Raw genomic sequence first — 15324 nt, forward strand, 5'->3', positions numbered from 1 at the left:
AGGTGACCTCTCCCTTTTTCTGGAAACCTGACCTTTTCCTGGAGTTCACACCCTGCCAGGCGTGCGTTTGTGGGGGACACTCCCTTCCCCCATTAACGCTGGTGCTGGCTGGTGAAGTGGGCAGCTGTGGGGGTGCCTGCCCAGCATGCTTCCACCTTCTTTGACTGCCAACACCTAGATTTTCCTCGGACTCCCTCCCCACCCACTCGCCCCATTGTTTGGGTGGGGCTGATCCACCTCCTGGCTTCAGAGATGTCCTGTGTCCAGGCCTGGCCAGGGTGAGCCCAGCCTAGGTTTCTGCCAGATAGGAAAAGGGGTCTTTCCTCTTGCTTATGTGGTGAGACGTCAGCTTGGAGCTGCCTGGGTGTCTTGGCCACTGCAGGGAGAGACTGCCTGAGGAAGAGGCTAACAGGGAGGAGAGCGGAGCTGAGTGACGGAAGGAGAAGGAGAGACTCCCAAGCTCTCAACTGAGCACTTGGACCCAGCGTTCCCTGATTTTGATGTTTCGGTTCCATGAGCTGAGGTTTTTTTCCCTTCAGCCATTTGGAGTTTGTTATTTGACACTGAAAGAGTCCTGGCTGTTCTGCTGGGATGCCGTCTGCCCTCTTCCCAGTCCACCGTCTGCCCCGCCGCCCTGCCCCACTCTATGGCTTCCCCTGTCCTATGGCTGGTCATAGTCCTAAGTTCCCAGCCCAGAACGTGCTCCTGGACTTCAGGCCTGTGCTATCAGCTGCCCCTAGACACTTTTGATGGGATGCCTTGTGGGGGCACTCAAAATGCAACATGTCCCAAACAAAACTCATTCTCTGTCCTTTGTCTTCTAAGGTTTTCTAATTGGCGATGAATGCTTCCTTCATTCCACCCATCTTTCCATCCATCTTCCTTCCTTCCTTCCTTCTTCCTTCCTTCCTTCTTCCTTCCTTCCTTCCTTCCATCGTTACATCCACCATAGTGTAATGTTCCATCCATCCATCCATCCATCCATCCATCCATCCATCCACACACTCACTTACCCATTCATTTCACCTCCTTCTCCTCATGACAACAATGATGATAATAATAACCTATGTTTATTGAGGGCTTTCATGGTGCTAGATACTGTTCTAATCAATTTACACATACACATTTAACCCTTTACACATACACATTTAACCCACATTACACCCACATTACACGTACACATTTAACCCTCAAAACCAACCTGTGCAATAGGTAGTATTACTGACTTAGAGGTGAGGAGCCTGAGACACAGCAGGGTTAAGTAGCTTAGTGTCACTAAGTGCACAGCCAGGGTTCCTCGTTGCTGAAGCCGGAGACTTGGGAATTGTCCTCATGTCACCCCATCATCCTGAACATTTGGTCATCACATCCTGCCAACTCTGCCTCCAAAGCTCCTCTCAGACTAGCCTGTTTCTCTCAAATGACCTACCTCAGGGCACCCCCATGTCTTTCTGAGATCACAGTCCCAGCCTCTAGGCTCCCATCCCCCTCCACTACCCCATCGCTTCTCAGCCAGGCCCACCCTGCTGGGTACCCTCCATGAGAGCCCATGGCACAGGCAGGTGGGCCTTGCTGAGAATGCATCTGCTGCAGGGCCGAGGCCACATCTGGGCTTTCACCGTCACATCCCCTGAGCTCCAATCAGTCCCTGGCTCAGGCCAGGCACTTAACAAATGTTGTTAAGTGAAATGAGGCATGGACGGCAGCTTGGGAACCACCCAAGGGTCCTGAGCACACGTGGAGTTGGCCGCTGGCTTCCAGGACAACATGCCCCCAGTGTACACTGAAGGCCTCAGTCACAGGTTCTCGCCTCCTTCCATCCCTTCCATTCTGGGATGGCTCCAGCCACCTCAGCAGATGTTCTTGCTGATGGGTGAGGGCTATGTCAGGAACAGCTGAATGTCTGCGGCCGTTGTTCAGCTAAACACCTCTGTCCACCCACCTCCAGACAGTCTCAATCCCTCCACCCCCACTCCCTCTTTGATGACTTATGGGCGGAGAACATCCAGAGCTGGGTGGGGACAGGGGGACTCTGTGCTCCTGCTGCTACCCCTCACCTCAGGTGGGTGTTACCTGTGTTAGGCCGTTTTGTTTTCTATAAAGAAATGCCTGAGACTAGATAATTTATAAAGAAAAGAGGTTTAATTGGCTCACGGTTCTGCAGGCTGTACAGGATGCATGGTGCAGGCATCTGCTCCTGGTGAGGCCTCAGGAAGCTTCCAGTCATGATGGCAGGCAAAGGGGGAGTAGGCGCATCATAGGGTGAGAGCAGGAGCGAGAGAGAGGGGAGGTCCCAGACTCTTAAACAACCAGGCTCAGGTGAACTCACTGAGCAAGAGCTCGCTCATCACCAAGGGGATGGCACTAAGCCATTCATGAGGGGTCTGCCTCCATGATCCAAGCACTTCCCACCAGACCCCACTTCCCACACTGGGAATCAAATTTCCAGTGAGATTTAGAGGGACCCAACATCCAGACAGTGCCACTCCCTAAGGAGGGAGCCATCAGCAGATGTGGCGCAGGAGGCTGAGGCTGGGGAGATCTGGGCTGACCAGAGACCCTGAGTGGGCTACTGCTTGCGGTCCACTGCGGTGAGTCTCGGGGCTCCTTCTGGGGTCTGCAGGATGGTGTGCCTGAGGCTAGGGGCAGGTCCGGGAACCCCATGTCCTCTTCAAGGCCAGGCCACCCAGCCCTTCAGCAACACTGCCTTGGGGCCTGTCCCTGGAGAGGAGATGAGGCTGCTGAGCTGTGCCAGGGCTGCCTCAGCGGGGCTAAGTGTGTTGGAGGAGGCTCACATTCCTGGGTGTGCTCCCACAGCATGTGGGGTAGACCTGTTCAACCTGGAAGGACTCTGGCCCCAAGAGGTCAGAGTGGCTGCCGCAGAAGGACACCTCTCAGGCCTCCCTTCAGGAGAAGCTACCCCAAGGGACGTGACTGACCATCCCAGCTGCCGCACCTGCAGGCGCCGCTGTGGTACTCACTCCCAACACTTCCTCTCCCCGGACTGCCCCTGCTGGAGGCTGAGCCAGCGAGGTCATTTGCAGATGTGGGACTCCTCCGGGGGGAGTCTTTGCCTGGGTCTCTGCCTCACCTGGCTGAGGCATCCCTAGAGCGGTGCTGGCTGAGGCTCTTCCAATTCCCTTTCTGCCCCCATCCTTGCAGCTGTGACAGCTGGATGCCAGGGTCCGAAGGCTCTCCTGCCTATTCCTGCTCTGTACCCCCTTTATCCTTCAGAGATATTTCTTGGAGGACCCCCAGATGACTAAGCCTGAGGAAGGAACAGTCCTGCCGAGAGCCAAGGGGCCCCAGCACCACCCATAGCCCTGGCAGGTATGTCTGGCAGGAGATGCTGCCTGGAGACAGGTGGAACCCCCCCCATGGCAGCACCCCCAAGTCCAGCCTTTGAAGGAGCTTTTGGGGGCAGTGCTTGGAAGGCTTCAGTTCCCACACAGCCTTGGGCCTGACTCAGCTTCACTCACAGCCCTTGGTCTCCCCGTTGGCAAATGTGTGCTCGTCTAGGCCCCTGCCTGAGATCCCTGCTGGCCAAAGCTCCATCTCGGTTTATCTGGATCATCTTCTCCCAGAGCCTCCTGGCCCTTTGTGGGATTGAAAGGATGTCAGGGCAGGAGGGCCTTCAGACTCTATCAGGCTCCACCACTTAAATCTACAGAGAGGTACAGAGAGGGTAAGTAACTTGTCTGAAGTCACACAGTAGGTCTGAAGCAAGCTAGTCAGGACCATGGTTGTATGATGGTCCTTCCTGGTCTCTTCTCACCTGGCTGGGTGATTTCCTGTGACCTCAAATCAAATCAGAGGTCACTGCCTCCAAGGGCCATCCATATGCAGCCCAGACCTCTGAGGGGAGGGCAATGGGTCTCAGCATCTGCCTCCCCAGCCTGCAGACCAAACCCCTCCACTGACATTGCTGGGGCCTCCTCAGCCTGGCTCAACTGCCTCTCCTGGTTCTCCTAGGCCCACCTCAGGCTTTCACTCACTCCCTTGCCCTCCTGGGGGACCTTCTCCTCTTGACCCATGTATTAGTCTGTTGTCACGCTGTTAATAAACACATACCTGAGACGGGGTAATTTATAAAGGAAAGAGGTTTAATTGACTCACAGTTCAGCATGGCTGGGGAGGCCTCAGGAAACTTACAATCATGACGGAAAAGGAAGCAAACATGCCCTTCTTCACATGGCGACAGCAAGCAGAATGAGAGCTGAGTGAAGGAGGAAGCCCCTTATAAAACCATCAGATCTCGTGAGAACTCACTCGCTATCACGAGAATAGCATGGGGGAAACTGCCCCCATGATTTAATTACCTCCCACCGGGTCCCTCCCACCACACATGGGGATTATGGGAGCTACAATTCAAGATGAGATTTGGGTGGGGACACAGCCAAACCATATCTCTTCGAAGGTTTCCATGACCCCAGCCTAAATAGCCTGCCCTGGGCCTGGGCTTCTTGCTTGGCCCTTAGTGTAGCATAGTCCCCACCGTGGTCTTTGCTTCACGAGCATCTCCTGCCTCAGAACCAGCCTGAATGCACCTTGAGGGCTGGAGGTTTGAATCCTGGCTGCACCTGGCCCAGGTGGCTGGCTTTCTCAGCCCATGAGGTGGAGGTAAGAAAGTGCATGGGCTTTTGAGTTAGACAGACCTGGGTTTGAGCCGCAGTGTGGCTGGGGTGGCCTCCTCACATCTTTGTGAATCAGTTTCTTTGCATGTAAAATGGGGAAGTTGAAACCCATCTTGGATATGTGAGGAAGACCCGGCTAATGTATGGAAAGTGCTCGGGATGGTACCTGGCCCAGCGGCTCTTCCCAACCATCTAAGCTGCCTCCCCTTCCCTCCCTGCCTTAGGGTCTGGCTCAGGGCTGAGCACCCAGGAGATGTTTCAAATCCAGAAGTGGAACTGTGGGGAAATAGTGGAGGAGGCTTTCTGGGAGGGGTCTGCTGGGGAGACAGTGAATTCCTGTCAGCTCGCAGTGGAGCTCAGAAATACCGATTCAGCACTGGCTTCCAGAGTGAGAAACTCTGCAGGGCTGGGAGTTGTGGGGAGAGAGAGAGGAGATGGGAGGTGGTGGAGTGGGGGTGGGGGTGAATGAGGGAAAGAAGAGACAGAGAGAGAGAAAGAGGAGTAGAGGCGGAAAGAGAGGAGGTCAGAGATACAGACAGACCCGGAGGGAGAGACACCAAGCGACTGGCAGAGAATGAATCAAATAAACAAAAAGATGGAGAGAAATCCAGACAGTTAGAGAGGCAGAGAGCCAGGAGAGGAAGTGTGCAAGCTCAGGAAATGGAGAGAGAGAGGGAGACAGAGAGAGAGAGAGAGGGAGAGAGAGAGAGGGAGATTCTGGGGGTACAGTTTGCAGGCCAGGTCCCCTGTGCGCTGCCTGAGCACCTCTCCACAGGGCAGGTGGGGGGACTTCCTTTTGGGTGAGGACCTTTCAGGCTGTCTTTTTCCTGGTCAAAGGCCATGTCCACTCGTGACCCCTGTGAGTGCTTCCCTGGAGTCCTGCAGCCCAGGGCCAGCAGCAGAGTTGGCTGTGGCCTGATCCATGGGGGCTCTGGAAATCCTGGAGCTTGGTGATGAGCCGTTCAGAGAACACCTCCAAATGCCAGTGCCCCAGTGGAGGGGCTGAAAGCAGGGCAGGGAAGGGACATCTGTGGACTTGTATTTCAGGCCAGCAGGGCTTGAGGTGAATGGAGGAGGAGGAGGGCGAATGGTCAAGTTTTTTAGTCTCTCTGGGGTGGACAAGTCCACTCTGCCTCATTCCACTGCCTTAGCTTGAGTGCCTCTAGGGCCAGGTGGCTCCCGCATCCCCTAAGAAAGCCTGCTGTGAGAGTGGGAAGGTCTTCACTAGGTTGGTGCTGCCACTCTGGCCTTGGCTGTGGGGTGTGTGTGTGCATGCAGGTATAAGCTGTAAGCCAGCATGAGACCACAGCGCTGCCTGTGGGGAGAACTTTGCTCCCCCAGAGGAAGCAGGGTCATTTCTCTTTGGGTCCCTTAGTTGACTTCAAGCCCCTTCAGTCTCAGAAAAGGACTTTTGATAGATTCATTTATACTGAAATGCCAGGAAATAACTTTGTAGTTTCCCCTAAAGGGGCAATTTTAACCTAAAGCATCACTTCTCTCTGGGGCAATGGCAGGCAGTGGGGTGGGAAGTTAGCGGGGAGGGCTGCTCTCTCTGGCTCCCGTTGCCACCAGAATCCCTCCTCCCACCTCTACAGCAGGCTCTTGGCAGGCGGGGACCATTTCTTCTGTTTCTTCTGTGTCCTTCCCAATCAGGACACAGTGAAGTCCCTCCAGAGGGGGCTCCCAGTGAGGGGTAGAGATAGAACAGCAAGAAGAGCCTTTGCACCCGTGAGCCACATCACCAAGCAAGCACTGACTAAGGTGTGAGTCCCAGCTGTGGGTGGCTGCTGTGTGGCCTTGGACAAGTCCTCACCCTCTCTGGGCCTCCATTGCCTACCTGGGAAAGATGAGGTTTGGGAGAGTGATGGTCATTGAAGGCTCCTCTGGCAGTGGTGTCTGAGGTTCTGGGCCTTTCACCCGCCTCAGGTTGCTGGTCAGCACCCGGGCCACGCACTGATTGCCACAGGACCGGGTGATGGATTCTAGATGACCCAGTGGCCCTAGACCAGCCAGGCAACCAGACTCTTCCATCCGGAAATAGTGGAAACGTTCTTTAGACACCCGCTTGTCTGACTCCCTCAGTGACAGGTGGGGAGACCAAGGCCTGGGTAGAGGGGTGGCTTGCCCGAGTCCCACATCATATGAGCATTGGGTCTGAATTACGAACAAGTCTCCTGCCACTTTTCGCAGTTGGTTGAGTCTTAGGGGTAAATCCTGGTGGGCTCCCTGACAGAAGTGAAAGCTAAGATAGGTTCTGAAGGAAAGTGTGAGTGGGGAGAGATGGGAGGGGTGGGTGTAATTTGCAGGTCTTACAGAGAGGGGCCCCAACTTCTGCCCAGAAGTCAGTTGGGAAGGGAGAGGGGCTGGGTGGTCCACCTGCCCTTGGCCTGTCTATCTCCTGCACCCTAAGGCTCCAGAAACCCCTGGCAAGGGCTGGCGTCTAAGCTGGCTGCTCTGCATTTGGTCTCTGGTGTGAGTACTGGAGGACACCTCTCCCTGTGGGCTGCCCCTGGGTCAGTGGCTAGACTGGGCTGGCCACCACCGTAAATCACCCAGGGAGCTGGGCTAGTGGACATGGTTTGTGCATCCTGGGCACCCACCCTGCAACTCTGAGAACGGACGGCAACATGTCATTTTAACAAAGTTGCCGATTTCCTTGTCACATAGGAGGTGGACAGCCATGGCCAGCACCACCTCACTCACCCCCAGACCCCTCCAGGACCTCCCCAGCCTGGTGAGTGGGTGCAGAAGGTGAAGGCTGACAGGTCCCATCAACTGGATTGGGGAGAGGCACCTACCGCCCCAGTGGAACTGGCATCTGAGTTTTGGTACCCCCCGACCTCCCACTCTGCCTCCTACTCTCTTGACCATCTCTCAGTGGGATCTCAGCAGATCCCACTGTCCCTGAGTGTGCTGTGCCAATTTATCCCCCAGATGTATGCACACTGCTCCTGCCACCTGGAACACATTCTTCTTTCCCCTCTATCTGGATTCTTCTTTCAAGGCCTAGGTGAAGACTTCTCCCTCCAGGAAGCCTCCTGTGGTTGTCCTAGCATAACCCTTAGACCTCTGAGAGCAGGTGAGCAGCTTTTGCTTGCTAACTTTGGTGATCAGGCTGGTTGCTGCCTGGAGCACCTGACAGAGGCCGCATTCAGGCTCAGCCGGAAAGAGTAGCATGGATGGGCGATGTCTATCCGGGTCAGGGAGAGGGAGGCTGGGGTGGCTTATGTTTACTTTCCTTGCTGAGGCTTCTGGGCCATGTGGCCATTGTTCATACCCTTTGTGCACGCAAAACTTCTCTCATCTCTTTACCCCCTGTCTGCTCAGGGGATACGTAGTCCCCTGACGGCAGGCGCCCAGCCTCATGCTTCCTCTGTGCCCCTCATCACGCTGGGCACACATAAGGCTCCGTAGACCTGAGTCAGATGGAGGGGCAGAGCATAAGATGCTGTCACTTTCCATGGGGAAACTGAGTCATAGAGTTTCAGAGCCATTTACAGGGAAGGGACCTGGGGCTCGGAAGGGGAAGGCATTTTCTCACGGCCCCAGAGGGAGTACTGGGAAGGCTCTATGAGAGACTGGCGGTCAAAGTGTAGCTTCCATGCCTGAAGGGTGTCTGGCAGTCCAGGTGGAGCAGGGGTCCCGATGCTGCCTCCCCATGCCCCCGGCCCTGCAGAGGCTCCTCCTTTTTTCATCCGAGGCTCTGAGAGCATTCATTAGTGCACTTTACTCCCATGTGGGGTATCCATGCCTTTCATTATTCCCATTTTACAGATGGGAACATGGAGGGAGCAAGGGGTTCATGGCTGGACCCCAGGTCCCATCCAGCAGGTTGCCAGTGGCTGTAGTGACTCTGGCCCCAAACATGGGCTGGCCATGACCCTGGCTCAGGTTGGGCCCCAGGCTTATCAAGGAGATGCTTCTCCCCTTAGGGGAGCCCAATGCAGAGAGTGTCTGAGCTAGAAAGTCACTTACAGGTTGCAGATTCTGAGCCCCTGGTGATCCAGACGGAGAAAATGAGTCCCAGAGAAGGTCAGGGGCTGGTCCCAGACCACACAGCTTCCCTTAATGGACAGGCTTCCTGACAACCAGTTCTCCCCCAGTCTTCCCAGAATGCAGAACAGAGGGAGAGCTGTGGCCGTGTATCTGGGTCCTTGCTGGAGCTCCATCCTGCTCAGGCCCGAAAACACTGGAAAGGAGACCTGGCTGGATGCTCCAGTAGCCTTCCCTGGGCCAGCATGGCACTGAATCTCTGCAGTCTCACCTAGCCTCAAGTTCTCACTGTAGTGTAAATGACTGATAGCAGAGCCTTTCCTGCAGCCATGTTGGCAGGAGGGGGAAAGGAGCCCCTGAAAGAGGAAATGGTACGCTTCTAGGTGTTGCAGGGATGGGTTGTGATGTAGTCCAGAGAGGGAGTCTGGGGGCCTGGACACTCAACTTCTTCTGAGCCCCGCTCCCAGATTGGCCCTCCTCCTCTCCCTCCTCTTCCTCCTCAGTCTCTCCGTCTCCCCTCCTCTTGTCCTCTTGCAGCAGCTGTTAATCCAGCCTCCCCTCCGCATGGTGCATTGTAAAGAGCTGGCCCTCTGACAGATTTGCATTGGTGGTTTATTGATTTAATTAAGCAGGGGCTGTAAACAGTGCCCCCCTCCTCAGCCTGAGGAGCATCCACAGGGCACCTGGCTGGCTAGCATTAAAGACCCATGGAGGCCGCTGACTGTGGAGGCAGCCTGATTTAAGGACCTGTGATTCCCGTGAACTTTGTTCCTCCATCCCTCTTGGATTCTATCAGAAGTGCCATCACAGTGGCAGTGATGGCTTAATCATAGCCCAGTGCCTCTGCCAGGGAGAGAGGGCCTCAGTGGACAGCAGGCAGAGGGTCTTGGGAGCCGTGGTTCTCAGTCTGCCCCGCCCCCTCTCTCTGGCCCCACCAGTCCGGGGCCCACCCCAGCTGTTCCCACTCCTGCGAGTGCCCTGCCCAGTGCTCTGGGAAGGCTGCTCTTTTGTCCTCAACAACAGAGCCGAAGTTCCGGAGGCCCATGGTGTACTTTACCGTGCCCACTCTTGCCTGGCATCTCCAGATGCCACCATAGAGCAGGCATTTGCTGCGTCTGCAAAATAGGCAGGAGTGACTGTAGGTGACCGCTGTGTGCCCCACTCCCTCCCAAACCAGGGAGTGCTGGCCTGGGAGACAGAGACCTGGGGTAACTGTCCCGTCCTAGCCCTGACTCTGCTGCTCTGCCTCCCGGCTGCTGTCTCCGGGCTGCTCTTTCTGGTTGTGGGTAAGGGGATGGAGTCAGCACTATCCAAGCTCCCTTCTAGCCTGCTAGTCACCTTTCCTCTTTCATGGGGAGATGTTCTTATGCCAGGGAAGGCTGGGCACTGGGCTGGGCAGGATTCTCACCCCTACAGGGTCAGCCGATCCTCACACCAGCTCTACAAAACAGTAACCTCGTCCCCCACCCACCCCTTAGAGATGAGCAACTCAGACGTTGAATGACCTGCCTCAGGTCACTCAGCCCTTAAATACAGAGCTTGGTTTGAGCTGAACTAGTGCTAGGAGAGGTGAGGATGATGTTGCTGGATCTCCCCTGGTATCTGCCCCTGATGCTACCTCTCCAGTCAGTTGTAAGGTCCCCTTCCCCAGAGCCCCAAGGAGATGTCTGACCCGGAGGAATGGAGCCTGGGTGACAGAGAGGCTGTAGGTACGCAGCCTGGGTAATGGAGAGGCAGCAGGAACGGAGCCCGGGCGACAGAGAAGCAGCAGGAACGGAGCCCGGGCGACGGAGAGGCTGCAGGAACGGAGCCCGGGCGACGGAGGGGCTGCAGGAACGGAGCCCGGGCGACGGAGGGGCTGCAGGAACGGAGCCCGGGCGACGGAGGGGCTGCAGGAACGGAGCCCGGGCGACGGAGGGGCTGCAGGAACGGAGCCCGGGCGACGGAGGGGCTGCAGGAACGGAGCCCGGGCGACGGAGGGGCTGCAGGAACGGAGCCCGGGCGACGGAGGGGCTGCAGGAATGGAGCCTGGGTGACGGAGAGGCTGCAGGAACGGAGCCTGGGTGACGGAGAGGCTGCAGGAACGGAGCCTGGGTGACGGAGAGGCTGCAGGCATTCTTTGGCCCCTTCCATTGTTGAGGAAGACCCAGGCCCAGGTCAGTGTCGCACAGTTGGCCATGCTTCCCTCCGGAGCCAGGAGGCTGGGTGAAAGGGGTGGAGCATCTTTGCAGGCTTGGGGCTGGGTGCAGGGGACAATGCCTTGTGGCTCAGAGCCTGACGGCTGACGGGGTCCTTGGAGGCCCACTGCCCAAGATGAGAACACTGAGGCCCAAGGCCACACAGTCCGGGTAGGGGTCTCCCTGGGGGAGCCTGGCCCTCTCTCTGCTGATCCTCCTCCCATTTACAGCCCTAGGCACCTGGATCAAGGTGGGCAAAATCAGCTTGCTGGGCCTCCGGGGGGCAGAGGGGCAGCAGGCAGTGAGGGGAAGGGAGGAAGAGACGGGTGGGAGCTGACGGTGGCAGGGACGCGCCCCGCAGGTCTGTGTTAGCTGTGTTTGTCTGGGAGTTCACAGCTGCTGGTGAACATCTGCTCTGTCTCCCGCCTCTCACCACTGCCTCCCGCCTCACCGCCCCCGCCCGGCCTCTTTCTGGGCGCTCCCTGTCATCCCTCCTCTCACCAGCCCTGCCCTACCTGGTTTCTGCTTTTCTCGGTTTTGTTGCCTCTCCATTTCTTTCTCTCTTCCCTCTTTCACACTCTGGGTCTCTCAGAATTGGTCCTCCCTGCCCTTCCCCAGGGAGGCAAGCCCCTCCAGCCCTCTGGGCCTGGGGGAGGTGTGGAGGTGAATGTGATCAGCTGGGCTTGGGTCTGCAAGGCTGGGGCCCTTGCCATTCTCTGGCTGGCCTCTCTGAGCTTCCACTGCCCCATCTGTAAAATGTGGACTGAGGGGCGGGGACAGTGACGGCTGAGGACAGTGCCTGACATCTTGCGGGGCTCCCTCTGTCCCACATCCAGGTGCGGAGTTATTGCCACAGTTATCCAACCTGCCTGTTCCCAGGAGACCTGGAGGAGCACCAGGACTCCTGGGAGCCCTGAGAGGTTACAGATTCCCGAGCCCATTCTCCCAGCGCCATCCAGCCCAGTGGGCCCCACCCTCCTGCATCCCTGCCACGTTGTTCCTCACAAGTGGTCATCCACCCCTAGTGTGACATGGTCACCGATAGGGTGAGTTGACAGCCTGGAGTCCTAACACCACGACTCAGCTCTCAGAGCCTCAGTTTGCTCATCTGCAAAATAGGAAGAATAAGGTCTGGTGGGGCGCAGTGGCTCACGTCTGTAATCCCAGCACTTTGGGAGGCCGAAGTGGGCGGATTGACTGAGGTCAGGAGTTCGAGACCAGCCTGGCTAACATGGTGAAACCCTGTCTCTACTAAAAATACAAATATTAGCCAGGTGTGGTGGCAGGCACCTGTAATCCCAGCTACTCAGGAGGCTGAGACAGGATAATTGCTTGGACCCAGGAGGTAGAGGTTGCAGTGAGCCAAGATCGCGCCACTGCACTCCAGCCGGGCAAAAGAGCGAGACTCCATTTCAAAAAAAAAAAAAAGAATAAGGCCTGCTTCATAGGCTTGATGAGCACTCCCCATTCTGACCTCTGTGGCAGTGCAGGGTCTACCATGGGCCTCAGAAGGACTCAACAAATGGGGCTGACTATTCTTGTTGAACTCCTCTGTGGTGGGGAGTTCACCCCATGTGAAGCTGCTCAGAGTATTGGAATGGGATCCCAGAAGCCCGTTCTAGATGGTACCTGGGCGTGTTGAAATGCTTCAGTGCCCCAGGGGAGTCCTGCCCAGCCTGCTCCAGTGGAGCTCCTCTTCCTCCTCCCAGCACCTCCCCCACCACCTGCCCATGCTGCTGCCACCTTCCACTGGCCTCCCACAGCATGACTGGCCCCGCCCACACCTGGCACCTGTTTCCCGATGGTTTACTCACTCTCCCTTCTTCATGTTGCAAAAGCCTCCCAAGTGGTTATGCTGCTTCCCTCACCCTCTCCACTCCAGTCTCTGCCTCCACCTGGAGGGATAGAAAAAAAAAACCCCACTTTATTGGGGGTATTTCTTAGTATAAACTGCTCACATTCAAAATACATACATATATATATACACACTTGACGGACTTTCACACGTGTATACAGCCATGTAAAAGGCTCATAGATCAAGATATAGAACAATTGCAACAGCCCAGGAGTTTGATTGTGCCTTTTCCAGTCAGTAACCTGCCCAGAGGTAACCACTATTGAGGCTTGGATCCCCAGGGTTAATTTCATCTAACCTTGAGCTTCATATGCATGGACCCATTTAGCACACGCTCACTTCTGTCTGCCTTCTTTCCTTCAGCATTCCCACTGTGAGATCCAAACATATGGTTGCATGTATCCGTAATTTCTTCTTTGTCATTGCTGCATAGTATTTCATTGAATGAATGTACCATGATTTGTTTATTTATTCTACAATAGATGGGCATTAGAGTTGTTTTCAGTTTTGGGTTATTACAAATAAAGCTTTGAGGAAGATTTTTGTGCATGTCATTTGGCAGTCACTTGCTTTCATTTCTCTTGGGCAAATACCTATGGCTGGAATTGCTGGATCATATGCAGGCATGTGCTTAGCTTCAGCAAATATTGCCAAATCATTTCCCAAGTGGTTGAAGCAATTAACACTCCCGCCAGCAGTGCAAGAGTTCTGGTAGCTAGCTCCAAGCTCTTGCCAAAATTCAGAATTATCATTTCTTTTTAATTTTAGCTTTTTTGGTGGGAGTATAATGGTATTTCATTGTGGTTTTAATTTGCATTTCCCTAATGATTGATAATGTTGACAACTTTTCACATATTAAGTGGACATCTGGGTATTATCTTTTGTAGATGGTCTATTGAAGTTTTTTGCCAAAGTTAAAAATTGAATTGCCTATTTTGTTCTTGATTTGAGTTTTTTTTTCTCATTCTTTTTTTTTACATATTCTGGATTTGAGTCATTTTGGGATATATGCATGGGTGATGTGCTTCTCTGTCTTTATTACCTACTTTCCTAACCTCTCAAAATCCCTCACCCTGTCTGAAAGCTCACTGAGCCTCAGCCTCCGAATGTAGGGTTCCCTCTGCCAGGAGGGACCTCACCCTCTTCTCTCCTTCATCAGGGATTGCTTTTCAAGACCCCAATCAAACCCCACCTCCTCTAGAAAGTCAGCCCTTCTGCTCACAGCCCTGGTTGATATTCCCTGGCTTTGGAGGCACTGGTGCATATAGCCCGTTCAATGCCGTGAAAGAACGCATCTTGGCTTCTGCATACACCTTGTGGGCAGGGACGGTGTCTTCTCTTTCACATCTGCCCCGTGTCTCAGGTGATGCTGGAGCTCGATCAGCTCTTGTGGACTTTCGAAGGTAGGGTCGAGGTGTGGCCCAGTTTGCCTGAGACAGTCCCAATTGCCACTTACTGACATGGCATGGTTAATAACAGCCCCTCCTGAGGCCCAGAGGAGAGGGGAGCTGAGATGGAAGCCAAGGGGCCGATCGGGAAGAGAACACTTGTTTCAGGGACAGAACTGGGTCTAGTACTGACGGCCTCCTGTGTGCCATGTGCTCTCAGATGAATCCCTCATCCTCTGCACCTCAGTTTCTTCTTCTGTACAATAGAGAAAATAAATCTTCACCTGTCTCACCGGGCAGTTATAAGGGTAAATGAGCCATCAGATGAGGCTGTGACAGGAGACAGTGCAGACGTACAGAGAAGCTGCTCCTGTCTTCCCAAGGCCCTGCTTGCGACAGGGAATGTGGTCACCTGCCCTGTGGCAGTCCCATGGGCCCTGGGAGAGGGACATTCAGCATGCTCAGAGGAGGGACTGGCATGCCCCAGTGGGGGAAGCCTGGCCGAGTGTTAACATCAGTTCAGTCCAGGTAGTGGCTAAATGTTCTTTTTTGAATGTTCAAAATATTTCGTGAATAATTTTTTTCTTTATTGAGCTATAATTGAAAAATAAAATTGTATATATTTATTCCGTACAATGGGATGTTTTGATATGTGTGTACATTGTGAAATGACTACTGCAGTCAAGCTAATGAACATATCCATCACCTCACATAGTTATCTTTTTTTTTTGTTTTGGTGGTGGAACATTTAACATCTACTGTCTTAGCAATTTTCAAGTATCTGATGTATTATTATTCACTATAATCACCATGTCATACAGTAGATCTTCAGAGCTAATTTGGCCCGCCTCACAGAAACTTTGACCTACATCTAAGTTTAATTTACATTTTAAAAAAATTTATTTAAAATATATTTTTTAGGTTTTTAGAGACTGGGTCCCACTCTGCTGCCCAGGCTGGAGTGTGGGGCTGCAATCACAGCTCACTGTAGCCTCAACCTCCCTGGCTCAAGCAATCCTCCCACCTCAGCCTTCTGAGTAGCTGGGACTGCAGGTGAGAGCCACTGTGCCTGGCCTAAATTTTTTTTTTTTTTTTGGAGACGGAGTTTTGCTCTTGTTGCCTAGGCTAGAGTGCAATGGCTTGATCTCGGCTCACCACAACCTTTGCCTCCTGGGTTCAAGAGATTCTCCAGCCTCAGCCCCCCGAGTAGCTGGGATTACAGGCATGGGCCACCATGCCCAGCTAATTTTGTATTTTTAGTAGAGACAGGGTTTCTC

General features: G+C 54.4%; 2 annotated features.

Moving 5' to 3' along the window:
- Positions 9557-9731: a silencer, noted in NCBI's record as "fragment chr10:72677493-72677667 (GRCh37/hg19 assembly coordinates)". NCBI's record gives its function as "represses an EF-1alpha promoter that drives an FKBP-Casp9 reporter gene in an ReSE screen in phorbol 12-myristate 13-acetate-treated (for megakaryocytic differentiation) K562 erythroleukemia cells {active_cell/tissue: K562(+PMA)}" and the evidence as "EXISTENCE:reporter gene assay evidence [ECO:0000049][PMID:32094911]".
- Positions 10323-10503: a silencer, noted in NCBI's record as "fragment chr10:72678259-72678439 (GRCh37/hg19 assembly coordinates)". NCBI's record gives its function as "represses an EF-1alpha promoter that drives an FKBP-Casp9 reporter gene in an ReSE screen in K562 erythroleukemia cells {active_cell/tissue: K562}" and the evidence as "EXISTENCE:reporter gene assay evidence [ECO:0000049][PMID:32094911]".

Source organism: Homo sapiens, chromosome 10 (genome assembly GCF_000001405.40).
Source record: "Homo sapiens chromosome 10, GRCh38.p14 Primary Assembly".
In the NCBI taxonomy this organism is placed as follows: Eukaryota; Metazoa; Chordata; class Mammalia; order Primates; family Hominidae; genus Homo; species Homo sapiens.